This window comes from Homo sapiens, chromosome 5, assembly GCF_000001405.40.
Source record: "Homo sapiens chromosome 5, GRCh38.p14 Primary Assembly".
Taxonomy (NCBI): Eukaryota; Metazoa; Chordata; class Mammalia; order Primates; family Hominidae; genus Homo; species Homo sapiens.
This window is the reverse complement of record NC_000005.10, coordinates 179,654,192-179,681,578: the sequence shown is the minus strand read 5'-3', so window position 1 is coordinate 179,681,578 and position 27,387 is coordinate 179,654,192. Positions and strand designations below refer to the sequence as shown.

Here is a 27,387-nt window from a genome sequence, read left to right as displayed (position 1 = left end):
CTTGCTTTAAGGAGGCCTAACTGTGGTGCCATTTGTGCTCAGAGTTCCCCATGAGAGCAAGCGGAAGCTAGTCTCCACGTGAGACCACACTCTGGCTCAGCCTTAGCCTTTTTCTCGCCCTGTCTTGCTTCCCTCACCCCCTTCTCCTGAGAGCATTTCCCCAATAATTCACTTGAACAAGAATGCTCAGCTTAGGCTCTGCTTCTAGGGAACCTGACCCATGACACGCTCTGTTAGCTTCCTGAGAGACTATCTTGTTAGTTCCCCTAGAACAAATTCCTGTCTTGGACTCTGCTTATGATCACTCCCTTCATTCCCCTGCCAAGAATGACAGCTCAGTGAGGGAATATGTTCTTCACTTCCCTAGAACTGTTCCTAGAACACAGTAGGTGCTCAATGATGCACTGAATGCATGCAGGGGAGAGCCCAGAGTCTATCTGACAGCTCAGCGGTCAGCACCCCTTCTTGTCCTGGGGTGGCCTGGCCTGGAGGCATTGTGAGTCATAGCAGGTGGACAAGAGCTGAGTGGGTCAGAGATGGGACTAGCCCTGGGACAGCAGCTCAGCAACTCCACCCCATCTTCCAGGTGAGGCACAACATACAGTGAGGACTAACGGGGAAACATCCTCCGAGAAGATACAATCTCAAGGGTGGGCCTGGATGTGGGCTTCCAGAGACCATCTCCCTGAACCAGATCTTGGGGATGGTATGTACCATCCAGCCTCTGTCCACCTATATGTGAGGGATAAGTGTATTATGAATTAACGAAGGCATAACAGAGGGAACCCTGCTCTAGTTCTTTCTCTTCTCACTGCCCATGGGCAGAAGAGGAATTAGAAACAACACATAGCTCCCTTTTTCACATAATAGAATCAGCACTTACTGGGCAGGGGTGGGGGGTGCAGAGAGAAGTGAGCAAAATGGGACTTGTCTGTTATCTGGACTTTGGACTTCCTGAGGGCACAGTTTGTTTGGAATAAAAGTCATGTTTAGTGTGCACAATCCCTGATACTTTGAGCCCTATGCATAGGTCTAGCCCATGGCACACACCCCAGGATGTCAGTGAACACACTGGACTGTGGTCTATACACGCATCTGTCTTCCAAGCTGGATTAGGAGCACCTTGAGGGCAGGCAGAGGCTGTTTCAGGTCCCCTTCCCAAGACCAGAGTCTGGCACAGAGCAGATGCTAGTTCAAGTCTATCAAATGACTGAATGATGAGGGCAATAATGCTGTTGGCTATGCTAGATATCCTCCCAGATTGCTTTCAGAATCCAGATCTAACCCCGGCTTTCTAATCCTTCAGCAGTTCCCTCTTACCCACAAAAGGAAGTCTAAGCTTCCGAGCCTGCCTGTAGGGCACCTTCACATAGTGCACTGGTCCACCTTCCCAGCTTCCTCTTCTGCTCTTCCCAGCACCAATCCTATCCAAGCTCGTGTTCACATCTGAAATATGAAAGTCCTGCCCTGCCGGGTACAGTGGCTCACACCTGTAATCCCAGCACTTTGGCGCTGAGGCGGGCAGATCACCTGAGGTCCGGAGTTCGAGACCAGCCTGGCCAATAAGGTGAAACCCCATTTCTACTAAAAATACAAAAAAAAAAAAAAAAAAAAAAAAAAGGCCAGGCGCAGTGACTCATGCCTGTAATCCGGGCACTTTGGGAGGCCGAGTTGGGTGGATCACCTGAGGTCAGGAGTTCGAGACCAGCCTGGCCAACATGGTGAAACCCCGTCTTCACTAAAAATACAAAAATCAGGTGGGGGTGATGGCAGGCGCCTGTAATCTCAGCTACTCAAGAGGCTGAGGCAGGAGAACTGCTGGAACCCGGGAGGTGGAGGTTGCAGTGAGCCAAGATCGCGCAATTGCACTCCAGCTCGGGCAACGACAGCGAGACTCAGTCTCAAAAAAAAAGAAAAAGAAAGCCCTGCTCGGCTCTTCCCTCTGCCTAGAAGTTCTCCATTTTCCATCCTCAACCCACCTGGCAAAGTCCTACTCCTCCTTTAAGTACCTACTTACTTGTCTTGCTACCATTCCCTACCCCTCACCCTTCCAGCTGCAACTCAGAACAAGGCCCTCCTCCCGTCCTTCATCTGCATATGTATCCCAGGGCCTGATCCTCAGTGGTCTTTGGGGAAGATGGTTTAGGTGAGACTGCTGCCTGTGCAGCGTGGAACGACGGGCTCCTCGGTGGCCAGCAGCTGGTGAGACACAGCCGCAGCCGTAGCTGCAGGGCTAAGACATGTCCGCCGGCCTCGCGGTTTGAGAGGCGGCCTGTACCAAGCACGCTGCTCACCCGGACTCTTGTCTCCCAGCAGCGCCCCCTGGCTCGCCTTCATCATTCTGGACATCCGGGCTCCCGAGACAAGAGCGCAGCACGAGTCGCCAGCGCTCCCGAGGCTCCCCTTCGAGCACCTGCGTGCCCTACAAGGTCCACGCCCTGGCAACCTTCGAGTGCTCGGCTACGAGCCATGCCAGCCGCCTGTGGCAGACGCTGCAGCAGTTTTGGGCCGATCACATCTCGCGGCCCTTCTCGCCACGGCGGCCGCCACTGCGCCGCATGCCCTCCCTGTCCACCTTCTACCTGCTGGACCACAACACGCGCCAGGCCGAGCTGGGCCTCGCCTACGGCGCGCCGTGCATGCGCCTCAGCAACCAGGCCTTCGTGTTCCGCGGCGGGCGGTGGACCACTGAGAGCCAGCTGGCGAGGACGCGGTCGCCGCTGCTCTCGCGGACCGCCTGGGGCTGGAAGGCGCAGGTGCAGCGGTCCAAAAGCCAAGTGTTGCTGGAGGAGAACAACTACCTGAAGCTGCAGCAGGAACTGCTCATAGACATGCTGACTGAGACCATGGCGCGCATGCACTTGCTGGAGAAGCAGCGCAACCCCGAGGTGATCCCGACGGCTGCGGCGCGCGCCGGGCAGAGGAAGATGCGCAAGCGCGCAGGCGCCAGCGCGGGCGTGCTCATGATCCAGCCGTGCGCTCTGGACTCGCAGTGACGCAATAAAGGCCGCGCTACGCATGCGCGCCTCACGCCTCGGGTCTGCCACTGCCCCAGCGCGGGACTGGCTCCCGCGGTTCCCCGGGTCGGTCTGTGCGTGTGGGTTGGGGAGGTCTGCGTGGCCTCGGGGACTGCCCCTCGGTGCTGGGTGTCGGCAGGGGACGCAAGCCTAAGCTGCCTGTCTTGGGAGGGTGTGATGGGGCCGTGGAGGAGGGTCTGCGCGTGGCTCTCCGGGAGTGCGGAGTGGAAGCCAAGCTTGCAGCCGACATGGCCCAGATAGGGTGGAGTGGCGGGTAATGGCCTTGCAGGCCATCCAGGTAACGGAGGGCGAAGTCCCGGAGACGGAGGAACCGCGGTGCTCAGGGAATGAAGGGTGTGGTGCGGAGGGAGCGGAGGACGGTGTATGGGGTCGGGGACTTTGCACTTGGTCCGTCTTCAGGGCCTCTAGGCTCAGGAGGTTTAGAAACTAGAAGTCCCAGGGTAAGTGTTATTTTACATTCCCAAGAGAAGCTTTCTGGAAACCATGGGCTGTGCGGCCCCCACTTGCCTGTGTGGCATTTTGGAGAGTCGCGTCTCTGTTACAGGCCTTTTTTTTTTTTTTTTTTTTTTTTTAAACTTATTTTTAAACACGGGGTCTCGCTCTTGTCACCCAGGCTGGAGTGCAGTGGCGCGATGATGGCTCACTGCAACCTCGAGCTTCCGGGCTCAAGCAGTCCTCCCACCTCAGCCTCCCAAACGTGGGATTACAGGCGTGAGCCACCGCGCCGGGCTCAGGCCTCCTTTTCTTTTCTTTTCTTTTCTTTTTGAGACGGAGTTTAGCTCTTGTTGCCCAGGCTGGAGTGCAATGGCGCGATCTCGGCTCACCTCAACCTCCGCCTCCTGGGTTCAAGCGACTCTCCTGCCTCAGCCTCCCAAGTAGCTGGATTACAGGCATGCGCCACCACGCCCGGCTAATTTTTTGTTTGTTTGTTTTTGAGACAGTCGCGCTCTGCCGCCCAGGCTGCCGTGCAGGGGCACGATCTCGGCTCACTGCAACCTCCACCTCGCGGGTTCAAACGATTCTTCTGCCTCAGCCTCCCGAGTAGCTGGGACTACAGGCGCTGCCACCACGCCCGGCTAATTTTTATATTTTTAGTAGAGATGGGGTTTCACCATGTTGGCCAGGCTGGTCTCAAACTCCTAATCTCGTGATCTGCCCGCCTCGGCCTCCCAAAGTGCTGGGATTACAGGCGTGAGCCACCGAGCCCGGCCTCAGGCCTCCTTTTCTACCTCCATAGAATGCAGTCTGCCTGGCCCACAGTCTTCTAAAAATTGCATTAGTTGCCAAAGTTTCAGAATTTGGAGATACCACATTAAAAATCCAGATTTCCTGGGGCCAGGCGTGGTGGCTCACGCTTGTAATCCCAGCACTTTGAGAGGTCGAGGCGGGCCTATCACGAGGTCAGGAGTTAAAAGGCCATCCTGACCAACAAGGTGAAACCATGTCTCTACTAAAAATACCAAAAATTGGCCAGATGCGGTGTCGGGTGCCTGTAAGCCTAGCACTTTGGGAGGCTGAGGTGGGCAGATTGCCTGAGCTCAGGAGTTCGAGACCAACCTGGGCAACATGGTGAAACTCCATCCCTACCAAAATACAAAAAAATTAGCCGGGTGTGGTGGCGCATGCCTGTAGTCTCAGCTACTCCTGGAGGCTGAGGTGGGAGAATCACCTGAACCTGGGAGGTGGAGGTTACAGTGAGCCGAGATCACACTACTGCACACCAATCTGGGCGACAGAGTGAGACTCTGTCTCAAAGGAAAAAAAAAAAAAATTAGCTGGGCTTGGTGGCATGCGCCCTACAGTCCGAGTTACTCCTGAGACTGGGACAGGAGAATCGCATGAACCTGGGAGGCAGAGGATGCAGTGAGCCAGCATCACACCACAGCACTCCAGAGCCAGACTCTGTCTCAAAAAAAAAATAAAGAAAATTTTAAAATCCAGCCGGGCACAGTGGCTCACACCTGTAATCCCAGCACTTTGGGAGGCCAAGGCAGGTGGGTCACCTGAGGTCAGGAGTTCGACACCAACCTGGCCGCCAACATGGTGAAACCCTATTTCTACTAAAAATACAAAAATTAGCCAAGCATGATGGCAGACGCCTGTAATCCCAGCTACTTGGGAGGCTGAAGCAGGAAAATCACTTGAACCGGAGAGGTGGAGGTTGCAGTGAGCCAAGATCGCGCCACTGCACTCCAGCCTGGATGACAAAGTGAGACTCTGTCTCAAAACAAAAACAAAAACAAAAAACAGATTAGGTTACCAAGGGATGGGAGGACACAGTTTGTGTGTGTGTGTGTGTGTGTGTGTGTGTGTGTAAACACAAGGGGGCTTCCTTTTGGGCTGATGAGAAATTGGCACTATAGTGGTGATAGTTTTGCAACATTGTAATAAAAGTCACTGAATGGTACACTTCAAAACGGTCAATTTTATATGAGTTTTATCACAATAAAAGAAGTAAAAGGAGGAAGATGCTTTACATAAAAACATTAAGCAAAACTTACATGTAGCATGCCAAAATAGCAAAACTCATAAAGGGATCCAAGAATGCCTAAAGTTTAGGGAATATTGCTTTGGCCAGACTACTTGAAAACAAATACAGTCCTAGGGTGGAGAAAGGTATCTGCCCCACCAAACCTGCAGAAGGCAGGGAGTCCCACAGCCCAGTGCGGGCCCTGTTTAGAAAGGTTCATCTACAGGTCAGATGCGGTGGCTCACGTCTGTAATCCCAGCACTTTGGGAGGCTGAGGTGGGTGGATCACCTGAGGTCAGGAGTTCGAGACCAGCCTGGCCAACATGGCAAAACCCCATCTCTACTAAAAAAAATACAAAAAGTTAGCTGGGTGTGGTAGCAGGCGCCTGTAATCCCAGCTACTTGGGAGGCTGAGGCAGGAGAATTGCTTGAACCTGGGAGGTGGAGGTTGCAGGGAGCTGAGATCGCACCATTGCAGCCTGGGCGACAGAGCGAGACTGTCAAAAATAAAAAATAAATAAAAAAAGAAAGGGGCATCCAAGTGGATCAAGGGCCTGAAATAAAAGGAGCAGGATGATATTTTGAAATATCTAACTTTGTTCTTTCTGCTCTAGAATTTCACACCCTGGTCCTGAGCCCTGCCAAAGGGCAGCCCAACTCATTGCCCCAGGAGATGAAAGCCACAGAGCATAAAGTCGGAACAAAGAAAGCAGGAACAAAGGACCCTGGCTTTCACCTCCTACAGCTCAGAATCCTCTGGGGAATAGAGCTTTGCAAAAATATTTCTGGGTTTGAGGAGGCAGGTCAAAAAGGCTGTGTAGGTTTGTCAAGCAAGAGGAGAGATGAGGGCCAGGTGTGGTGGCTCACACCTGTAATCCCAGCACTTTGGGAGGCCAAGGCAGGCGGATCATCTGAGGTCAGGAGTTCGAGACCTGCCTGGCCAACATGGTGAAACCCCGTCTCTACTAAAAATACAAAAATTAGCCAGGTGTTGTGGCACAAGCCTGTAATCCCAGTTACTCGGGAGGCTGAGGTGGGAGAATTTCTTGAACCTGGGAAGCAGACGTTGCAGTGAGCTGAGATTGTGCCACGCATTGCAGATTGGGCAACAGAGCGAGACTCCGTCTCAAAAAAAAAAAAGGAGAGATGAAGAGAAGCGTAAGTGAGGATCTCACTTGGTCTTCTATCTTGGAAAAAAATCTTTTCTTGCTGGGCACGGTGGTTCATGCCTGTAATCCCAGCAGTTTGGGAGGCTAAGGTGGGAGGATTGCTTGAGCCCAGGAGTGTCAGACCAGCCTGAACAACATGGTGAAACCCCATCTTTCCAAAAAGTAAAAAATTAGCTGGGTGTGGTGGCGCACGCCTGTATTTCCAGCTACTCTGGAGGCTGAGGTGGAAGGATCACAAACCTGGGGAGGTCAAGGCTGCAGTGAGCCGTGATAGTGCCACTGCACTCCAGCCTTGCTGACATAATAATACCCTGTCTCAAAAAAAAAAAAAAAAAAAAAAGCCAGGCGTGGTGGCTCACGCCTGTAATCCCAACACTTTGGGAGGCTGAGGCAGGTGGATCACTTGAGGTCAGGAGTTTGAGACCAGCCTGGCCAACGTGGTGAAACCCCATATCTACTAAAAATACAAAAGTTAGCTGGGCATGGTGGCAGGCGCCTGTAATCCCAGCTACTCAGGAGGCTGAGACAGGAGAATCACTTGAACCTGGGAGGCTGAGGTTGCAGTGAGCCAGGATCATGCCATTGCACTCCAGCCTGGGCAACAACAGCAAAACTCTATCTCAAAAAAATAAAAAAGGCCGGGCACAGTAGCTCATGCTTGTAATCCCAGCACTTTGGGAAGCCAAGGCGGGCAGATCATCTGAGGTCAGGAGTTCAAGACCAGTCTGACCAACATGGTGAAACCTCATCTCTACTAGAAGTAGAAAAATTAGGCATGGTGGTGTGCATCTGTAGTTCCAGCGACTCAGGACTCTGAGGCGGGAGAATTGCTTGAACCCTGGAGGCGGAGGTTGCAGTGAGCCATGATCATGCCATTGTACTCCAGCCTGGGCAACAGAGTGAGACAAAATAGTCTTTTCTTGGTGCCACATTCCCCTTCCAGCTACTGTGTCATTTCTTTGCTTCCCTTTATAACTAAATTCCAAAAAGTTGCTTATATTCACATCCCCAATTCCTCCCTTCCCTGTTTGCTCTTAACCCCCTTCAACTTCTTTTTCTTTTTTAGAGATGGGGTCTGGCTGTGTCACCCAGGCTGGAGCGCAGTGGTGTGATCATGGCTCACTGAGTCTCAAACTCCTGGGCTCAAGTGATTCTCCCACCTCAGCCTCCCAAGTAGCTGGGACTAGAGGCATGTACCACCACGCCTGCCTAATTTTTTGTATTTTTAGTAGAGATGGGGTTTCACCATATTGGCCAGGCTGATCTTGAACTCCTGTCCTCGGGTGATCTGCCTGCCTTGGCCTCCCAAAGTGCTGGGATTACAGGTGTGAATCGCCGTGCCCAGCCTAGTTTTTTGTTTTTTGTAGACCTGGGGGTCTTGGGCCAAGCGTGGTGGCTCACGCCTATAATCCTGGCACTTTGGGAGGCCAAGGCAGGAAGATCGCTTGATGCCAGGAATTTGAGAACAGCCTGGGCAACAAAGTGAATTCTTGTCTCTACAAAAAAAAAAGGCCAGGCACAGTGGCTCACGCCTGTAATCCCAGCATTTTGGGAGGCTGAGGTGGGAGGATCACGAGGTCAGGAGTTCAAGACCAGCCTGAACATGGTGAAACCCCGTCTTCATTAAAAATACAAAAATTAGCTGGGTGTGGTGGCACACGCCTGTAATCCCAGCTACCCAGGAGGCTGAGGCAGGAGAATTGCTTGAACCCTGGAGGCAGAGGTTGCAGTGAGCCGAGATCGCACCACTGCGCTCCAGCCTGGGCGACAGTGAGACTCCATCTCAAAAAAAAAAAAAAAGAAGAAGAAAGGAAAAAAAAGTCCAGGCGTGGTGGATCATGCCTGTAATCCCAACACTTTGGGAGGCCAAGGCGGGCAGATCACTTGAGGTCAGGAGTTTCAGAGCCACCTGGCCAATATGGTAAAACCCCGTCTCTACTGAAAATACAAAAATTAGCCAGGCATCGCCGGGCATGGTGGCTCACACCTGTAATCCCAGCACTTTGGGAGGCTGAGGCAGACAGATCATGAGGTCAGGAGTTCAAGACCAGCCTGAGCAATATGGTGAAACCCCATCTCTACTAAAAATACAAAAATTAGCTGGGTGTGGTGGCACCCGCCTCTAGTCCCAGCTACTCAGGAGGCTGAGGCAGGAGAATCGCCTGAACCTGGGAGGCAGAGGTTGCAGTGAGCCGAGATTGCACGAGATTGCGCCACTGCACTCCAGTCTGGGTGACAGAGCCAGACTCTGTCTCAAAAAAAAAAAAAAAAAAAAAAAAAATTAGCCAGGCATGGTGGTGTGTGCCTGTAGTCCAAGCTACTCGGGAGGCTGAGGCGAGAGAATCGCTTGAACCTGGGAGGCAGAGGTTGCAGTGAGCTGAGATCATGCCACTGCATTCCAGCCTGGGTGACAGAGTGAGACTGCATCTCAAAAAAAAAAAAAAAAAAAAGGCCAGGCATGGTGGCTCACGCCTGTAATCCCAACACTTTGGGAGGCTGAGGTGGGCGGATCACGAGATCAGGAGATGGAGACCATCCTGGCTAACACTGTGAAACCCCGTCTACTAAAAATACAAAAATTAGCCGGGTGTGGTAGCACGCGCCTGTAGAAGCTACTTGGGAGTTTAAGGCAGGAGAATCGCTTGAACCTGGGAGGCGGAGGTTGCAGTGAGCCGAGATCGCACCACTGCACTCCAGCCTAGGCGACAGAGCGAGACTCCGTCTAAAGAAAAAAAAAAAAAAAAAGGAAGAAGAGATGAGGGGGTCTCACTACGTTATGTTGCCCAGGCTGGTCTCGAACTCCTGGGCTCAAGTGATCCTCTCACCTTGGCCTTCTAAAGTAGTGGGATTACAGGCATGAGCCACTGCACCTGGTCTACCTTGAACTTCAGATTTCTCACGTCCCACTGTCCCCCGCCTGCCCTTGTCAAGGATGCTGTGCCCTCCCTGTGGTTAAGGCTTCTGCCTAGTTTTCTATCCTCATCGCAGTGCATCAGCAGCGTCTCGTGAGTTGACCCCTCCTCCTTGAAACCCTGGCTTCACTTGGTTTCTAGGGCACCATGCTCTTCTCATTTCCCTCTGATTTACCTCACAGGTGTGCCCTCCCAGTGTCTTGCCAGTTTCATTCACTCTCATTTCTTTGAGGTATGTGCACAATGTATCCTCCCTTCCCACTTCATGTTTTCTTTTGTTTTTTTTTTTTTTTTTTTGAGACGGAGTCTCGCTCTGTCGCCCAGGCTGGAGTGCAGTGGTGTGATCTCGGCTCACTGCAAGCTCCACCTCCGGGTTCACGCCATTCTCCTGCTTCAGCCTCCTGAGTAGCTAGGACTACAGGCGCCCGCCACCACGTCCAGCTAATTTTTTTTTTGTATTTTTAGTAGAGACGGGTTTCACTGTGTTAGCCAGGATGGTCTCCATCTCCTGATCTCGTGACCCGCCTGCCTCAGCCTCCCGAAGTGTTGGGATTACAGGCGTGAGCCACCACGCCTGGCCCTTTTTTTTTTTTTTTTTTTGAGATGCAGTCTCACTCTGTCACCCAGGCTGGAATGCAGTGGCATGATCTCAGCTCACTGCAACTTCTGCCTCCTGGATTGCAGCAATTCTCCTGCCTCAGCCTCCTGACTAGCTGGGATTACAGGTGTCCGCCACCATGCCCAGCTGATTTTTGTATTTTTGGTAGAGATGGGGTTTCACCATGTTGGCCAGGCTGGTTTTGAACCCCTTATCTCAGGTGATCCACCCACCTCGACCTCCCAGAGTACTGGGATTACAGGTGTGAGCCACCGTGCCTGGCCCCCACTTCTTGTTTCTAGCACCCATTAACACTTGACCTACTACATATTGTATTTATTCTTAGTCTCCTCCAACTAAAACATAAGCTCTATGGGGTTTGTTGTTCTGTTCCCGCCTGTATCTCAGTGTGGAGAAGTGCTCCCCACTTATTTGGCCCTCTCCAAATAGTTGTATTGCTATTTTTATTTTTATTTTTTTATTTATTTTGAGATGGAGTCTCACTTTGTCGCCCAGGCTGGAGTGCAGTGGCACAATTTCAGCTCACTCCAACCTTCGCCTCCCAGGTTCAAGCTATTCTCCTGCCTCAGCCTCCCAAGTATCTGGGACTGCAGGCACACACTACCATGCTGGACTAATTTTTGTATTTTTAGTAGAGACGGGGTTTCACCATATTGGTCAGGCTGGTCTCGAACTCCTGACCTCATAATCCACCCGTCTCAGCCTCCCAAAGTGCTGGGATTACCGGCGTGAGCCACCGCGCCCAGCCTATTTTTTCTTTGAGACGTAGTCTCACTCTGTTGCCCAAGCTGGAGTGCAGTGGCGCAATCTCGGCTTACTGCAACCTCTGCCTCCCGAGTTCAAGTGATTCTCCTACCTCAGCCTCCCAAGTAGCTAGGATTACAGGTCTGCACGACCACGATTGGCTAATTTTTGTGTTTTTAGCAGAGGTGGGGTTTTGCCATGTTGACCGGGCTGGTCTCAAACTCCTGACCTCAACTGATCCGCCCACCTTGGCCACCAAAGTGCTGGGATTACAGGCGTGAGGCACGATGCTTGGACCTCTCCAAGTACTTCTAGAATGAACAAAGCTCCACAAGAGATAGGCACCTGAATCCAGAGGAGCAGATACTGCTTAGCCATTGTCACAGATTTCTGCACCCTTAGGAGGCAGGAGAGGTGTCCAGGATGCTGTTGGGACTTCTGGTTATATCTGGTCAGCCCTGCTCTGACTGAAGCTGCAGCTGTGGCTCATGGTTCTGTACCCTGGGTCACTCTTCCCAATCTCTCTCCCCATGTTGACCAGGCTGGTCTCAAACTCCTGGCCTCAACTGATTCACCCACCTTGGCCCCCAGAGTGCTGGGATTATAGGCATGGAATTACATGGATTACAGTTTCCTGGAATGTCCCAAGTTAACTATGCCGAAGTTCCAGGATCAAGCTCTGTTTTTGTGAGGATTCAAGCTAAGGCAATGAGTAATAGAGGTAGCACTAGAAGACAGACCTAGCGATAGGAATCTAAAAGTAGATCACTTACCATTCGGAAGGCAACAAAGACACACACACACACACACACACAGTTGGTGATAACCTTGTGTCCTGAAGCATGAGACTCTTACCTGTGGTAGATAAGGAGATAGAAGTTGAAGAGAAAGCTTGGCTTATGCAGTAGCTTTGTCACTTGAAAGATGTGGAAGCAGCTGCTGTTGCAAGGATTATGGAGGTGGCTAGCTTTTCTAAATCACCTTAGCAGCTTTGAAGCAAGAGAATGAAAGATGCAGTTCAGCCTGCTATCTACTCAGAGTATGCTGTGAAAGGCAGGAACTCTCCCAAGACAACATGTAAAGAAAACCTTGCTTCCGTGGCCAGGAGGCAGAGCATGCTGAAAATGAGAACCAATATTTCATCACAAGAGCAGCAGAGCTGCAAAAGACACTTGTGCATCCTCAGCAGGTCTCCTGTACTAAAGTGGGGGCTTCTATTATTTTTATTTTTGTAGAGACGGGGATCTTGCTATGTTCCTCAGGCTGGTTTCGAACTCCTGGCCTCAACTGATCCACCTGCCATGGCCTCACAAACTTCTGGGATTACAGACATGAGCCACAGTAACCGGCCCATTGGGTGCTTTTAAAGGAATAAATGGGACTCTAGGCCTGACGTGGGATGTTTGGGTGGATGTACCAAAGAACCTTGAGCCCCCAGAGTCCCCTGAAGCATCCTGGCCAGCAGAAACTGCCTTCTTCCCATTGACAGAGGAGGACAGCTTCATCTAGCCTGGAGACAGTGCAGAGATCTCCCCGTTACAGGTGAGTACCCTGTAAGATAACACTAATCCTCCTCAAGATCCACCTCCTCTCATTGCCTCCAGACCAACAAGCAGGATCACATCTCAGCATAGCCCAAGCAGTGAAATATTTCCTACCCTAGGAGGAAATCACTCAGTCACCCAAAAAGTTGCAGGACCTGGGAGAACACTTGCGGGAGCGATCATGAGGGTACCAGATCCAGGTGGGGTACCAGATCCAGGCGGGGAGGGGGCAATAGAAGACCGGTGGGGCATTGATTGACAAGGGTGCATGCCCCAAGACTCAGGATTTAAAGTCCTGTCAAAGGACAGCTGGAGCTTGTCTTCACGCCAGACGGCTCCCGGAAGCTTGGACACCATAGTGGCCTACCATTAATGAGGTAGAGATGAAGGCTCAGGGAAGTGGGAATGTTAGAACGGATTTATTACATGAGACCAGAAGGTGTTTCATGGAGCTGCCCAGAGGAGGCGCTCTTCACTAAGGCAATGCAGAATGTGGACGTGAGGGGGCACTGGTGTCATAGAAAGCTGGTGGTGGCTGTGCTCTGTGGCTAGGAGATGCTGCCATGGAACTTGGCTCCTTAGTGTCTTGGGGATGACACGATTCTGGAATGGCATTTAACCATTCTGGATGGCAACATTTAACCCTCAGAAGCCAAGAGGGCTCTTATACTGTGTAGCAAGATTGGAATGGCAACTGTGGGAGGGGGAGTGCTTCTCAGGGATCTATGGCAATGATGATAATAGGTCATTGATGGGCAGCCAACCAAAGAAAGGGAGGCAGACAGTGACTGACAGAAAAGGTTGGGAACAAGGATGAGGGTCATGCTGCAGAGATCTGACAGTCTTCCGCTGACAGTGCCATACCCCTGTGGGAAAGACAGGAAAACCTCCAAATTAACTGAAATTCAGTTTCTACCACTACATTAGAGTGGCAGGTTTGACCTACAGATTGAATTACAGAAAGATATTTTAGGCCAGGTGCAGTGGCTCACGCCTGTAATCCCAGCCCTTTGGGAGGTTAAGGCAGGAAGATCGCTTGAAGCAAGAAGTTCAAGACCAGCCTGGGCAATATAATGAGACTCCCATCTCTACAAAAAGAAAATCAAAGAAAAAGAAATTTTGTTTTGTTTTTGAGAGAGTCTCGCTCTGTCACCCAGGCTGAAGTGCAGTGCTGTGATCTCAGCTCACTGCAACCTCCGCCTCCCAGATTCAAGTGATTCTCCTGCCTCAGCCTCCCAAGTAGCTGAGATTACAGGCACCCGCCACCACGCCTGGCTAATTTTTTGTATTTTTAGTAGAGACGGCATTTCACTGTGTTGGCCAGGATGGTCTCGATCTCCTGATCTCATGATCCACCTGCCTCGGCCTCCCAAAGTGCTGGGATCACAGATGTGAGCCACTGCGCCCAGCCAAAAGAAAAACATTTTAAAACCGTTTGAGAATGTGGAGTGAGCTATACCAGCCACAGGGACGAAGGAGGAGGCCAAGCAGTAAGAGATGCTAAGGAATGGCCTGTGGGGAAGTAAATGTGACGTATGCATCGGAAGCAGACTCAGCAAGCAGCAGTGACGAGACCAGGACCTCAACCTGCAGCTAGGCACTCTGAAGCCCCTAACACAGGTGACAGGTGGCGTCTGGGACTGTAACAAGTACCAGTAAAAATTGTCAGTGGCGGCCAGGAGCGGCAGCTCATGCCTGTAATCCCAGCACTTTGGGAGACGGAGGCGGGTGGATCACTTGAGGTCAGGAGTTCAAGACTAGCCTGGGCAACTTGGTGAAGCCCCATCTCTACTAAAAATACAAAAACTAGCTGGGCGAGGTGGCGCACACCTGTAGCCCCAGCAACTCGGGAGGCTGAGGCAGGAGAATCGCTTGAACCCGGGAGGCAGAGGTTGTAGTAAGACGAGATTACACCACTGCACCCCAGTCTGGGCAACAGAATGAGACTCGGTCTCAAAAAAAAAAAAATTGTCAGTGGCGATTGTGCAGGGATGGTTGTCCAAAATAGAATATTAGCCAGAAAAGCACAAGAAGCACAAATCTTTAGAGGAAAAACTGACCCTGCAAAGCCCAGAAGTCCTTGAGGCCGGGCGCAGTGGCTCATGTCTGTAATCCCAGCACTTTGGTAGGCTGAGGCGGGCAGATCGCCTGAGGTCAGGAGTTCAAGACCAGCCTGGCCAACATGATGAAACTCCATCTCTACTAAAAATACAAAAGTTAGCCGGGTGTTATGGCATCCACCTGTAGTCCCAGCTACTTGGGTGGCTGAGGCAGGAGAATCACTTGAACCCGGGAGGTGGAGGTTGCAGTGAGCCGAGATTGTGTCACTGCACTCCAGCCTGGGCGACAGTGCAAGACTCCATCTCAAAAAAACAAAAACAAACAACAACAACAACAAAAAACAGCCTGAGCAACATGGCCAGACTCCATCTTTACAAAAAAATTTTTTTAATTAGCCAGAGGTAGTGGCATGCACCTGTGGTCCCAGCTACTCTGGAGGCTGAGGCAGGAAAATCGCTTGAACCTGGGAGGTTGAGGCTGCAGTGAGCTATGATCACACCACTGCACTCCAGCCTGGGCAAAAGAGCAGGACTCTGTCTCAAAAAAATAAAAATAAAAGGTGCTTGAGAGAACGTGTGCAGGGTAAAAAGGGTGAAAAACATATGCGACTGTGCCACAGCCACAGGTCCCATGGAGGATCCATGCATTGGCCTTGTGTTGGCCAGGATGGAGCTGTGCCCTCCTTTCCGTAGGGGCCCCAGGGTGTCTGATTACAGCTGGCAGGGTGTTCTCCAGAAAGTTACCTGCCTGTCCCATGTCTGGCCAGGAGTACAGTGTTCACAACCACAGTCCCCACTTCTCTACTTTTCCTGCCTGCATCTTGCTTAGCTCCGAATGGCTTCCCACTATACACTTTAATCTTGCTCCTGCCAGACATGGTGGCACATAGCTGTGGTCCCAGCTACTTGGGAGCCTCAGATGGGAGGATGGCTCGAGCCCAAGAGTTCGAGCCTGCAGTGAGCCATGATTGTGCCCCTGTACTCCAGCCTGGGCAACCGAGCGAGACCCCATCTCTAATAAAAAAAAAAAAAGACCTAGCAATGTCCACACATCTAGCCGGTTCATCCTGTGACTGCAGGGTATTTCCCAGCGGGGGAGTGCCATGCTTTTCCTCTCTGCCTGATGGAAGGGGACAGTCAGGCTGGTCCCACTTTGGGGCCCTTTCATCACCCAGGCTCTGGTTCAAGGCATAGCCTAGCCCTCTCTCCTGGAGCTCCAGCTGGAGCAGCCACTGCTTCACTGGGCAGGAGGATGAGGGACATGAGAGGGTGGCCCCAAATCAGGGCTGATGATGGAGGTGGCCCCGGCAGGTCTCTGCTCTGACCTGGGGGCCTCATTTCTGCTCCTCAGCCCAGGTGGTGGCTCGATGAGCAGCATTACCACAGGTCTGGGGCCTGGATCTGGATCTCAGCCCGTCAGAAGTGTGAAAGCCACACAAGGAGCTCCTTGACCCTGCCATGGCGGTTGCCACAGCAATGCCTCCCTGGTCCCCTTTGCAGCTATGCAGAGAGATGGGGACATCAGTACCCTGCAGACAGAGGGGAAATGGCCTATGCAAACCCAGTACAAAGCATATTTTTAAACCTAGGGTAATAATTAACACTCGCCCGGCACAGTGGTGCCCACCTGTAGTCCTAGTCACTCTGAAGGCTGAGTCGGGAGGACCACTTGATCCCAGCAGTTTGAGGCTGCGGTAAGCTATGATTGCTATGAGCTACAAGCAAGACCCCATCTTAAAAACCCCAAAAAACCTTGCTCCTGCCTCAACCATCATCTCCAACACTTGTGTGTTGGTCTCAACTCTCCTATGACACTCTCGAGACAGTCCCACCCTTAATGATGCCCCTGGCCTGGGCAGTCTGGAAGCACCCCTTCTCTGCATGGCCTTGCTTGCTGCCTATGCTCACACATGTCAAAAAGAGGGTCCAGGCCAGGGGTGGTGGCTCATGCCTGTAATCCAAACATTTTGGGAGGCTGAGGTGGGCGGATCACTTGAGATCAGGAGTTCGAGACCATCCTGGCCAACATGGTGAAACCCCATCGCTATTAAAAATACAAAAATTAGCTGGGTGTGTTGGTGTGCACCTGTAATCCCAGCTACTTGGAAGGCTGAGGCAGAGAATCACTTGAACCCAGGAGGCAGAGGTTGCAGTGAGCTGAGATCGTACCACTTGCACTCCAGCCTGGGCGACACAGTGAGACTGTGTCTCAAAAAAAAAAAAAAAAAAAAAAAAAAAGGAAGGTCTAGATAACTTAGAAGCCTGGCCTAGTTCTTTCCCACGTGCACATGGGAAATGATGGCTGCAGAAGCCTGGTGGCCACTGGAGTGGACTGTGTAGGGACCAAAGGCCCATGACAGCCTGCTGGGTCTCCAGGAACAGTGGAAAGAAGGAAGCCTATGCTGAGACGGGATGGGCCTCGTGTGGGGCTGGGGAGCATGAGTGGCCCCAGGCTGGGCCTGCACAGGCTGCCCCTGGAGCCACAGAGCAAGGGCTTTGGCCCCTGCCACACTGGAAGCCATCGTCAGTGGTGTGTCTGCTGCTTTCTGTTCCCTCCTAAGATACCGCACATATAAAAACCTAACAATACTGTAATATCAAATACTTAGTCTATTTTCTCCCAGTCCTGTGTATGTCCTGAGAAGGGAAAGGCAGGTGGCAGGGGCAGTGGGAGCTGGGACTCGCAAACCTCAAGCCGACCTGTGGGGAGACAGAGATCAACCAGTCACAATGCGAGGTCTTCATTTGCCTCTTGATTCAAACAAACCTAACAAAACAGAACAACATATACCACCAACAAAGGCAACACATAAGACAACTGGAGAAGAGTGAAAATGGACCAAATATTTTTTTTTCTTTTTTTTGAGACAGAGTCTCATTCTGTCACCCAGGCTGGAGTGCAGTGGCGCAGTCTCGGTTCACTGCAACCTCCGCCTCCTGGGCTCAAGCTATTCTCCTGCCTCAGCCTCCCAAGTAGCCAGGAGTACAGGCGCACGCCACCACGCCCAGCTAATTTTTGTATTTTTTAGTAGAGATGGGGTTTCACTATATTGGCCAGGCTGGTCTCAAACTCCCGACCTCATGATCAGCTTGCCTCGGCCTCCAAAAGTGCTGGGATTACAGACATGAGCCACCGTCCCCAACTGGATCAAATATTTTCTATTGCAGTATTCTTAGATTTCTACTGCGGTATTGTTAGATGCATGCATGACATGTATAGATTAGGATTATAGGTTTTTTTTATCCTTATCTTTTGAAGATATTACTAGAGTGTTTACAGATAAAGGGATATGATGTCTGCCATTTGTTTCCAAGTAGTCTGGGAAGTCAGTAGAGAAAATGGGTGGGTCTATATAGGAAAAAATTTGGTCATCAATTATTATAGAAACTGGATGATGAGCACCTGTAATCCCAGCACTTTGGGAGGCCGAGGCAGGCGGATCACGAGGTCAGGAGATCGAGACCATCCTAGTCAACATGGTGAAGCCCCGTCTCTACTAAAAATACAAAAAAATGAGCTGGACGTGGTGGCAGGTGCCTGTAGTCCCAGCTACTCGGGAGGCTGAGGCAGGAGAATCGCTTGAATCCGGGAGATGGAGGTTGCAGTGAGCCCAGATAGCACCACTGCACTGTGGCGACAGAGCGAGACTCCATCTAAAAAAAAAACAAAAAGGAACTGGGTGATGAGTACATGAGGGTTTATAATACTGTTCTCACTAATTTTGTTTATGGTTGGATATTTTCTATGATAAAATTTTTTTCAGGCTGGGGGCAGTGGCTCACACCTGTAATCCCAAAACCTTCGGAGGCCGAGGCAGGCGGATCACCTGAGGTCGGGAGTTCGAGACCAGCCTGACCAGCATGGAGAAACCCCGTCTCTACTAAAAATACAAAATTAGCCAGGCATGGTGGCACATACCTGTAATCCCAGCTACTCAGGAGGCTGAGGTAGGAGAATCACTTGAACCCAGGAGGCGGAGGTTGTGGTGAGCTGAGATCGTGCCATTGCACTCCAGCCTGGACAACAGTGGGCAACAAGAGCGAAATTCTGTCTCAAAGAAAAAGAAAAAAAAATTTTTTTTTCATTGGCTGGGCGTGGTGGCTCACTTCTGTAATCCAAGCACTTTGGGAGGCTGAGGCAGGCAGATCACCTGAGGTCAGGAGTTCAAGACTAGCCTGACCAACATGGTGAAACCCCGTCTCTACTAAAAATACAAAACTTAGCTGGGCATGGTGGTGCGTGCCTGCAGTCCCAGCTGCTCAGGAGGCTGAGGCAGGAGAATCACTTGAACCTAGGAGGCAGAGGTTGCAGTGAGCTGAGATCGCGCCATTGCAGTCCAGCCTGGGTGACGGAGCGAGACTCTGTCTCAAAAAAAAAAAAAAGAAAAGAAAAGAAAATCACCCTCAGTTCCCTCAGAAAGATAGAAGCAATTTAATTTGAAGTCAGCAACAAGAAAGCCAAATGCAAAAAACTCTACAAATTATTAGCAAACCAAATTCAACAATGTATTGAAGTGGCAATTTGTCATGAGCAAGCTGAGTTTATCCTAGGACTACAAAGGTGACCAATGTTAGGAAAAAATCTATAAATATAATATATACATAAACAGATTAAAAGAGAAAAAGCAGGCTGGGCGCAGAGGCTCACACCTGTAATCCCAGCATTTTGGGAGGATGAGGTCGGCAGATCACTTGAGTCCAGGAGTTTGAGACCAGCCTGGACAACATGGCGAAACCCCATCTCTACAAAAAAATTAGCTGGGCATGGTGGCATGTGCCTCCCATCTACTTGGGAGGCTGACGTGGAAGAATCACTTGAGCACAGGAGGTCAAGGCTGCAGTGAGCTATGATTGAACCACTGCACTTCAGCCTGGGCAACAACACAAGACCCTCTCTTAAAAAAAAAAAAAAGGAAACAAAAGGAAAACAAGAGAAAAGCCATACGATCTCAATAGATACAGAAAAATCATTTGAGGCCAGGTGCGGTGGCTCATGCCTGTAATCCCAGCACTGTGGGAGGCCAAGGTGGGTGAATCACTTGAGGTCAGGAGTTTGAGACCAGCCTGGGTAACATGGTGAGACCCTGACTCTACTAACAACACAAAAATTAGCCAGGCATGATGGCACAAGACTGTACTCCCAGCTATTCGGGAGGCTGAGGTGGGAGGATCGCTTGAGTCCAGAAGGTCAAGGCTGCAATGAGCTGTGATCCTGCCAGTATGCTCCAACCTGGGCGACAGAGTGAGACCCTGTCTCAAACAACAACAACAACAAAAGGCTGGGCACAGTGGCTCACGCCTGTAACCCCAGCACTTTGGGAGGCCAAGGCCAGTGGATCACGTGAGGCCAGGAGTTTGAGACCAGCCTGGGCAACTTGGTGAAAACCCATCTCTAGTAAAAATACAAAAATTAGACAGGTGTGATGGCACACACTACTTTGGAGGCTGGGGCATGAGTTGCTTGAACCCAGGAGGCGGAGGTTGCAGTGAGCCAAGATCGTGCCACTGCGCTCCAGCCTGAGCAACAGAGGAAGACTCCGTCTCAGATAATAATAAATTAATAAATACTACAATTTGTTTATTCATTCACCCGTTGATGGAAATTATTTATGTTGTTCCCAGGTTTGGCTATTATAAATAAAGCTGCGTCATGCCTGTAATCGCAGCACTTTGAGAGCCTGAGGCAGGAGAATCATTTGAACCCAGGAATTTGAGACCAGCCTGGGCAACAAATTGAGACTCTGTCTCTATTAAAAAAAAAAAAAATTAAATTTAGCCAGATGCATGGGCGCAGTGGTTCACACCTGTAATCCTAGCATTTTGGGAGGCTGAGGCAGGCAGATTACTGAGGTTGGGAGTTCAAGACCAGTCTGGCCAACATTGTGAAACCCTGTCTCCACTAAAAATGTAAAAAATTAGCCATGTGCAGTGGCGTGCACCTGTAGTCCCAGCTACTTAGGAGGCTGAGGCAGAAGAATCACTTGAACCCGAGAAAGTGGAGGCTGCGGTAAGCTGAGATCGCACCACTGCACTCCAGCCCTGCGCTACAGAGCAAGACTTCTTCTCAAAAAAAAAAAAAAAAAATGGCTGGGCGCAGTGGTTCACGCCTGTAATCCCAGCACTTTGGGAGTCCAAGGCGGGCAGATCACGAGGTCAGGAGACCGAGACCATCCTGGCTAACATGGTAAAACTCCGTCTCTACTAAAAACACAAAAACTTAGCCAAGTGGGAGTGGTGGTGGGTGCCTGTAGTTCCAGCTACTAGGGAGGCTGAGGCAGGAGGATCCCTGGAACCCGGGAAGCGGAGCTTGCAGTGAGCCGAGATTGCATCACTGCACTCCAACCTGGGCAACAGAGCGAGCTTCTGTCTCTAAATAAATAAATAAATAAATAAATAAAATAATTAGCCAGATGCAGTGGTATATGTCTATAGTCCTAGCTACTGGGGAGGCTGAGGCAGGAGGATGGCTTGAGTCCAGGAGTTCGAGGCTGCAGTGAGCCATGATCGTACTACCGCACTCCAGTCTAGGTGACAGAGTGAGACCCTGTCTCAAAAAAAAAAAAAAAGATACATAAATAAATGAAGAACTGCTTTGAGTTCTTTTGGGTATATACACAGAAGCAGAATTACTACATATAGTTCTGTGTTAAATATTTTGAGGAGCCTCCATACCATTTTCCACAGCAGCTGTATCTTTTTCCATTCCCACCAACAGTGCACAAGGGTTCCAGTTTCTCCACATCCTTACAACACTTATTTTCTTTTTCTTTTTTTATTTTTTTGAGACAGAGTTTCGCTCTTGTCACCGAGGCTGGAGTGGAATGGCACGATCTTGGCTCACTGCAACCTCTGCCTCCCGGGTTCAAGTGATTCACCTGCTTCAGCCTCCTGAGTAGTGGGGATTACAGGTGCCCGCCACCACACCTAGCTAATTTTTGTATTTTTTTTAGTAGAGACGGTGGGGGGTTTCACCATGTTAGCCAGGCTGGTCTTGAATTCCTGACCTCAGGTGATCTGCCCGCCTTGGCCACCCAAAGTGCTGGGATTACAGGCGTGAACCACCGCGCCCAGCCAACACTTGTTATTTTCTGTGGCTTTAATACTAGCCATCCTGATGGGTGTGAGGTGGTACCCCACTGTGGTTTTGTGTTTCCTGTCTTTCGTTAATACAATTAATACTGCAATGAGGCTGGGTGCGGTGGCTTGCATGGTGGCTCACTTTGGGGGGCCGAGGCCGGCAGATCACCTGAAGTCAGATCACCTGAGGTCGCGAGTTCGAGACCAGCCTCACCAACATGAAGAAACCCCATCTCTACTAAAAATACATTAGCCAGGCATGGTGGCGCATGCCTGTAATCCCAGCTACTCGGGAGCCTGAGGCATGAGAATCGCTTGAGCTGGGGAGGCTGAGGTTGTGGTGAGCCGAGATGGCGCCATTGCTCTCCAGCCTGGGCAACAAGAGTGAAACCCTGGCCAAAAAAAAAAAAAAAAAAAAAACCGCAATGAAAAGCCTTGAGTATAAGGTAGGGTGCTCAATCTTCCTCCTAATCACAGAAATGTAAAATAAAAATTAAAAATAAACTAAGAGCCATCCTGGCCAACATGGTGAAACCCCATCTCTACTAAAAATACAAAAATTAAGGCCAGGCACGGTGGCTCATGCCCGTAATCCCAGCACTTTGGGAGGCCGAGGCCGGTGGATCACGAGGTCAAGAGATCGAGGCTATCCTGGCCAACATGGTGAAACCCTGTCTCTACTAAAAATACAAAAAATTATCTGGGCGTGGACCTGTAGTCCCAACTACTCGGGAGGCTGAGGCAGGAGAATCACTTGAACCCGGGAGGCAGAGGTTGCAGTGAGCCGAGATTGCGCCACTGCACTCCTGCCTGGGCGACAGAGCAAGACCCTGTCTCAAAAACAAACAAAGAGGCCGGGGGCGATGGCTCATGTCTGTAATCCCAGCACTTTGGGAGGCCGAGGCAGGTGGATCACAAGGTCAGGAGTTCAAGACCAGCCTGGCCAACATGGTGAAATCCCGTCTCTACTAAAAATACAAAAATTGGCCAGTTGTGGTGGTGCATGCCTGTAATACCCAGCTTCTTGGGAGGCTGAGACAGGAGAATCGCTTGAACCCGGGAGGCAGAGGTTGCAGTGAGCACCGCACTTCAGCCTGGGAGATGAGAATCCGCCTCAAAAAAAAAAAAAAAAAAAAAAAAAAAGGAGATCTCTGCTCTCTTGACGGATTAGCAAAAACCCAAGAGTTTGCAACATCCACTGCCAGCAAGGCTGGGGGAGGGCACTCACATAAATGCTGAAGAAAATGCACGATGGAGCAATTCCTACGGGGAGCAAAACTGCGTGTGCCTTCACCCTCTGATCAGGCAATTCCACTTCACGGAATGTATCTCAAACACGCACCGATTTCCCTCTGTCATAAATAGCCCTGACATAAGGCGCTTGGTAGTCACTGTGGTGCTTTCCTCAGGGTCCCCTCCCACAGGCGGCTACTGAGGTCATTTTATCAGGCCCCCTGGGCTCACCTTTTGTTCCATCCCGCACAGGTGAGCCGTCTGGGCAGGCTTTGGCCAGCTTCGCGCAGGTGCCACTGCACAGACTCTCCCTTCAGAGCAGCGCTGGAGGACGGGGTCAGGAGTCAGTGCACAAATCCCTCCTGTCCTTGGGGCCGGGCAGCCACCGCGGCGGGGAGACCCCTCGCTAAGGAGGAGTGTTGGTGTTGCCTCTACTCGCCGGGTCGCCCAGGGCCCTTCACTTCCGAATCAACTCCCCACAGCCGCTGCTTTCAGGGGAAGCCAAGCCAAGTCACATACGGCACGCGCACTGGATCAAAATAATACACGCCTCGACATGCGCCAGACGGTATGTCTAGTATTTAAAGAGCAGGGCTGAAAATGAAAGGTCCTTACCCGGCTTCCTTGCGATTTTCCCACTGCTTCCCCGCGCCAGGGCCGCCTCCTCCGCGGTGCGCGGGAGTTCGGGGAGCGCGCGCCCCCTGCCGGCCGGCCGGAGCGCGGGGCGGGTTTCGCGCCCTCCGTGACCTGGTAGAGCTTGGAATTGCTTCGCTTGTTCTCGCCCGAGGCTACTTTGAGGTTCTAAGTGACTCCCCGTTCCCCGGGTGCCTCGCCGTCGAGAAGCCCAAAGCTTCTCCATCTCCAGCGCTGGATGAGGCTCCCCTAGTTTTCCTTCTGCCCAGATACCCTGTGCTCTCACACAGGTCGTGCTCATGGCGGGGAACCGGGACTGCCGTTGTACGTGGCCTGGAGCTCACTTCCGCTCTCCCCCTCGCTGGACCTCTGACCGCAGGTCTCTGAGTCTGTTTCTTGGAGATTTGGGATAGCTGGGAGGCCCCATGAGAGCGAGACGGTGAAGCTACCAGCAATGGGGTCTGGTTCTGATGTAGCCATTGACCCCAGCTTGCACAGCTGAGCTTGCACATTCCTCCTCTCCTCCCCAGCCCCTGCCCCCGCTCCCAGCTGTGGCTGCCCCATGTCCTCTCCAGACCACCCCGCACAGCTGTGGCTGCCCCATGTCCTCTCCAGACCACCCCGCACAGCTGTGGCTGCCCTCCCAGCCTCCCTCTCACACCGCTCTGTGTGACTTTGTCCTGTGCTTGCTCCTGACACATGGACTTCGCTTTATCTTTCTTTTTTTTTTTTTAATTTTAATTAAAAAAAAAATTTTTTTTTTTGAGACAGAGTTTCTCTTTTGTTGCCCAGGCTGGAGTGCAATGGCGCACTTTCGGCTCACAGCAACCTCTTCCTCCTGGGTTCAAGCGATTCTCCTGCCTCAGCCTCCCGAGTAGCTGGGATTACAGGCATGTACCACATGCCCGGCTAATTTTGTATTTTTAGTAGAGACAGGGGTTCTCCATGTTGATCAGGCTGGTCTCGAACTCCTGACCTCAGGTGAACCGCCCACCTCAGCCTCCCAAACTGCTGGGATTGCAGGCATGAGCCACCGCGCCCGGCCTCAATTTATCTTTTATACTTGCCCAGGGCCAAAGGGAAGTCTTACATTAGTCAAACTCACCAGATTCAGTAAAAACTCAACCCTAAAATAATTATTTGAGACCGTGCAGTGGCTCACGCCTATAAGCCCAACAATTTGGAAGGCTCAGAGGTAGGCTTACTTGAGCCCAGGACCTCAAGACCAGCCCAGGGGGCCAGGCGCCGTGGCTCACGCCTGTAATCCCAGCACTCTGGGAGGCCCAGGTGGGTGGATCATGTGGTCAAGAGATCGAGACCATCCTGGCCGACATGGGGAAACCCCGTCTTTACTAAAAATACAAAAATTAGTGTGATGGCGCCCGCCTATAGTCCCAGCTACTTGGGAGGCTGAGGCAGGAGAATTGCCTGAACCCGGGAGGTGGAGGTTGCAGTGAGCCGAAATCGTGCCACTGACTCCAGCCTGGCGACAGAGTGAAACTCTTGTCAAAAAAAGAAGAAGAAGAAAAAAAAAGAAACCCAGAAAACAAAACGAGTCTTCGTCTCTACAAAAAATTAAAAAATACTTAAAAAATAATTACTTGGGTGTGGTGGCACCTGCCTGTGGTCCCAGCCAGCTGGGAAGTTGAGATGGGAGGATAGCTTGGGCCCAGGAGTTGGAGGCTCCAGTGAACTGTGATTGTGCCACTGGACTCCAGCCTGCGTGACACAGCAAGATTCCACTTCTAAAAAATAATTATAATCTGTCAAATTTCGGGACAGATAATCTTGGCCTCCCAGCCCAAGATTTGATTTGATTTCATTTTATTTTAGAGACGGAGTCTCGCTTTGTCGCCCAGGCTGGAGTACAATGGCACAGTCTCAGCTTACTGTAAACTCCACCTCACGCGTTCAAGCTATTCTTCTGCCTCAGCCTCTTGAGTAGCTGGGATTACAGGCGCGTGCCACCATACTCAGCTAATTTTTGTATTTTTAATAGAGATGGGGTTTCACCATGTTGGTCAGGCTGGTCTCGAACTCTTGACCTCGTGATCCGCCCACCTAGGCCTCCCAAAGTGCTGGGATTACAGGGGTGAACCATCCCGCCTGGCCAAGTTTTTATTTTAACAACTACTGTGTGTGAGAGAAGGGGGTGGGCTAGAGTAGGGTAATATGTACACGCTATGGCTGAAACAGAAAAATGGTAACTTTATTTTCTACTTCCCAGCATGCCCTGCTCTGAGCCCTCATTCCTAGTGAAGGTGGAAACAGAGCAAACTTGCTCTTGTATGGATTTAATTTAGTCTTTTTTTGTAATTACTCAGCCTTTCAGGTTGCTTTCTTCTCCGCTGCTCATTCTGTAGCAGACACTGGGTTGCCTACATAATCCCTTTTCCCCATTCTTTGCCAAGACCTCTGACTTTCTTTGGGATCCACCCTTGGAGAAGGTGCCTCTTGTCCTGGTTCAGGGACATATCCTGACGTGTCTAAGCCAATCACTGTAATGCCATTTCTCTCACCTCGGTTGGCTGGGGTGTGCATGAGACCAATTTCTGACCATGAAAACTCATGGATGTCTGCCATGGGGTCCATTCTTGAAAAGAAACACAAGTGGCCGGGCGCAGTGGCTCACGCCTGTAATCCCAGCACTTTGGGAGGCCGAGGCAGGCGCATCACGAGTTCAGGAGATCGAGACCATCCTGGCTAACACGGTGAAACCCCGTCTCTACTAAAAATCCAAAAAAAAATTAGCCAGGCGTGGTGGCGGGCGTCTGTAGTCCCAGCTACTCGAGAGGCTGAGTTGGGAGAATGGCGTCAACCCGGGAGGCGGAGCTTGCAGTGAGCACAGATCCTGCCACTGCACTCCAGCCTGGGGAACACACGGAGCAAGACTCCATCTCAAAAGACAAAAAAAAAAAAAGGAAAAAAGAAAAAAAAAAGTAAGGAGCCACCCACAGAATGAGGGAAAATATTTGCCAACAACTAATGGAACAACTCAATTCAAAAATGCATGAAGGGGGCCTGGTGCAGTGACGCATGCCTGTAATCCCAGCACTTTGGGAGTCTGAGGTGGGTGGATCACGAGGTCAGGAGTTTGGGACTAGCCTGACCAACATTGTGAAACTCCGTCTTTACTAAAAATGCAGAAATTAGCTGGGCATGGTGGAGTGCGCCTGTAATCCCAGCTACTCAGGAGGCTGAGGCAGGAGAATCGCTTGAACCCGGGAGGCAGAAGTTGCAGTGAGCCGAGATCGCGCCATTGCACTGCAGCCTGCGTGACAGAGGGAGACTCCGTCTAAAATGAATGAATAAATAAATAAACGAACAAAAAAGCATGAAGGGGCCGGACCCGGTGGCTGAGACAGGTGGATCACTTGAGGCCAATAGTTCAAGACCAGCCTGGGCAACACAGCAAACCCCATCTCTACAGAAAATACAAAAATTCGTCAGGCATGGTGGTGTGTGTCTGTGGTCCCAGCTACTGGGGAGGTTGAGGCAGAAGGACTGCTTGAGCCTGAGAGGCAAAAAAAAAAAAAAAAAAAAAAAAAAAAATAGCTGGTGGTTCATGCCTGTAATCCCAGCACTTTGGGAGGCCAAGGCCAGCAGATCACTTGAGGCCAGGAGTTCGGGACCAGCCTAGGCAGTGGTGGCGAGCGCCTGTAATCCCAGTTACCCGGGAACCTGAGGCAGGAGAATCACTTGAACCTGGGAGGTGGAGGTTGCAGTGAGCCAAGATCGCGCCACTGTACTCCAGCTTGGGCAATAAAGTGAGACTGTCTCAGACAAACAAACAAACAAATGAAAAGGCTGGGCGGGGTGGCTCAACGCCTGTTATCCCAACACTTTGAGAGGCCGAGGCGGGCGGATCACGAGGTCAGGAGATCGAGA

The 27,387-nt window shown here is 51.2% G+C and overlaps 2 protein-coding genes and 1 long non-coding RNA gene across 5 annotated transcripts in view, besides 3 other annotated features; 1 reads left to right on the top strand and 2 right to left on the bottom strand.

Annotated features, from left to right (window-relative positions):
* Nucleotides 1–2,923, bottom strand: part of CANX (calnexin) — a 52,986-nt gene extending 50,063 nt beyond the window's left edge. Inside the window, exon 1 of the mRNA XM_011534665.4 lies at nucleotides 2,802–2,923. The gene's annotated coding sequence lies outside the window, so the exon portion shown is untranslated. The remainder of the gene's footprint in view (nucleotides 1–2,801) is intronic.
* On the top strand, nucleotides 545–3,019 carry CBY3 (chibby family member 3). 2 transcript variants are annotated; one of them, XM_047417524.1, is made up of 2 exons: nucleotides 545–586; nucleotides 2,314–3,019. In XM_047417524.1, the coding sequence occupies exon 2, from the start codon at nucleotides 2,559–2,561 to the stop codon at nucleotides 2,994–2,996; it is 438 nt and encodes a 145-aa protein (XP_047273480.1). In that variant the 5' UTR covers nucleotides 545–586; nucleotides 2,314–2,558; the 3' UTR covers nucleotides 2,997–3,019. The 2 variants fall into 2 exon arrangements, with proteins under 2 accessions (XP_047273480.1, NP_001157916.1); NM_001164444.2 differs by having other exon boundaries at nucleotides 545–706.
* Nucleotides 2,581–2,840: an enhancer, noted in NCBI's record as "active region_23755". NCBI's record gives its function as "activates an Ori minimal core promoter by ATAC-STARR-seq in GM12878 lymphoblastoid cells {active_cell/tissue: GM12878}" and the evidence as "EXISTENCE:reporter gene assay evidence [ECO:0000049][PMID:35858748]".
* Nucleotides 2,581–3,343: a biological region, named in NCBI's record as "H3K27ac-H3K4me1 hESC enhancer GRCh37_chr5:179105237-179105852".
* Nucleotides 2,728–3,343: an enhancer, noted in NCBI's record as "H3K27ac-H3K4me1 hESC enhancer chr5:179105237-179105852 (GRCh37/hg19 assembly coordinates)". NCBI's record gives its function as "activates a minimal SCP1, AML or CMV promoter by ChIP-STARR-seq in naive H9 embryonic stem cells {active_cell/tissue: H9 hESC(naive)}" and the evidence as "EXISTENCE:reporter gene assay evidence [ECO:0000049][PMID:30033119]".
* LOC105377763 (uncharacterized) lies at nucleotides 7,284–23,817 on the bottom strand. 2 transcript variants are annotated; one of them, NR_134259.1, is made up of 4 exons: nucleotides 23,098–23,473; nucleotides 18,476–18,604; nucleotides 17,162–17,256; nucleotides 7,284–7,564 (listed from the first exon to the last, which is right to left on the bottom strand). It is a non-coding gene; the product is annotated as an uncharacterized LOC105377763 (long non-coding RNA). The 2 variants fall into 2 exon arrangements; NR_134260.1 differs by lacking the exons at nucleotides 17,162–17,256; nucleotides 18,476–18,604 and adding an exon at nucleotides 23,482–23,817 and having other exon boundaries at nucleotides 23,098–23,272.
* Between the last annotated feature and the right edge of the window lie 3,570 nt (nucleotides 23,818–27,387).

What these genes read in the sequence shown, in the direction of transcription:
- CBY3 (NM_001164444.2), top strand. Translation starts at nt 661, where the DNA reads ATGTGGGCTTCCAGAGACCATCTCCCTGAACCAGATCTTGGGGATG. An exon ending in TGAACCAGATCTTGGGGATG is followed by an intron (nt 707 to 2,313) that starts GTATGTACCATC and finishes CTTGTCTCCCAG; the next exon opens with CAGCGCCCCCTGGCTCGCCT.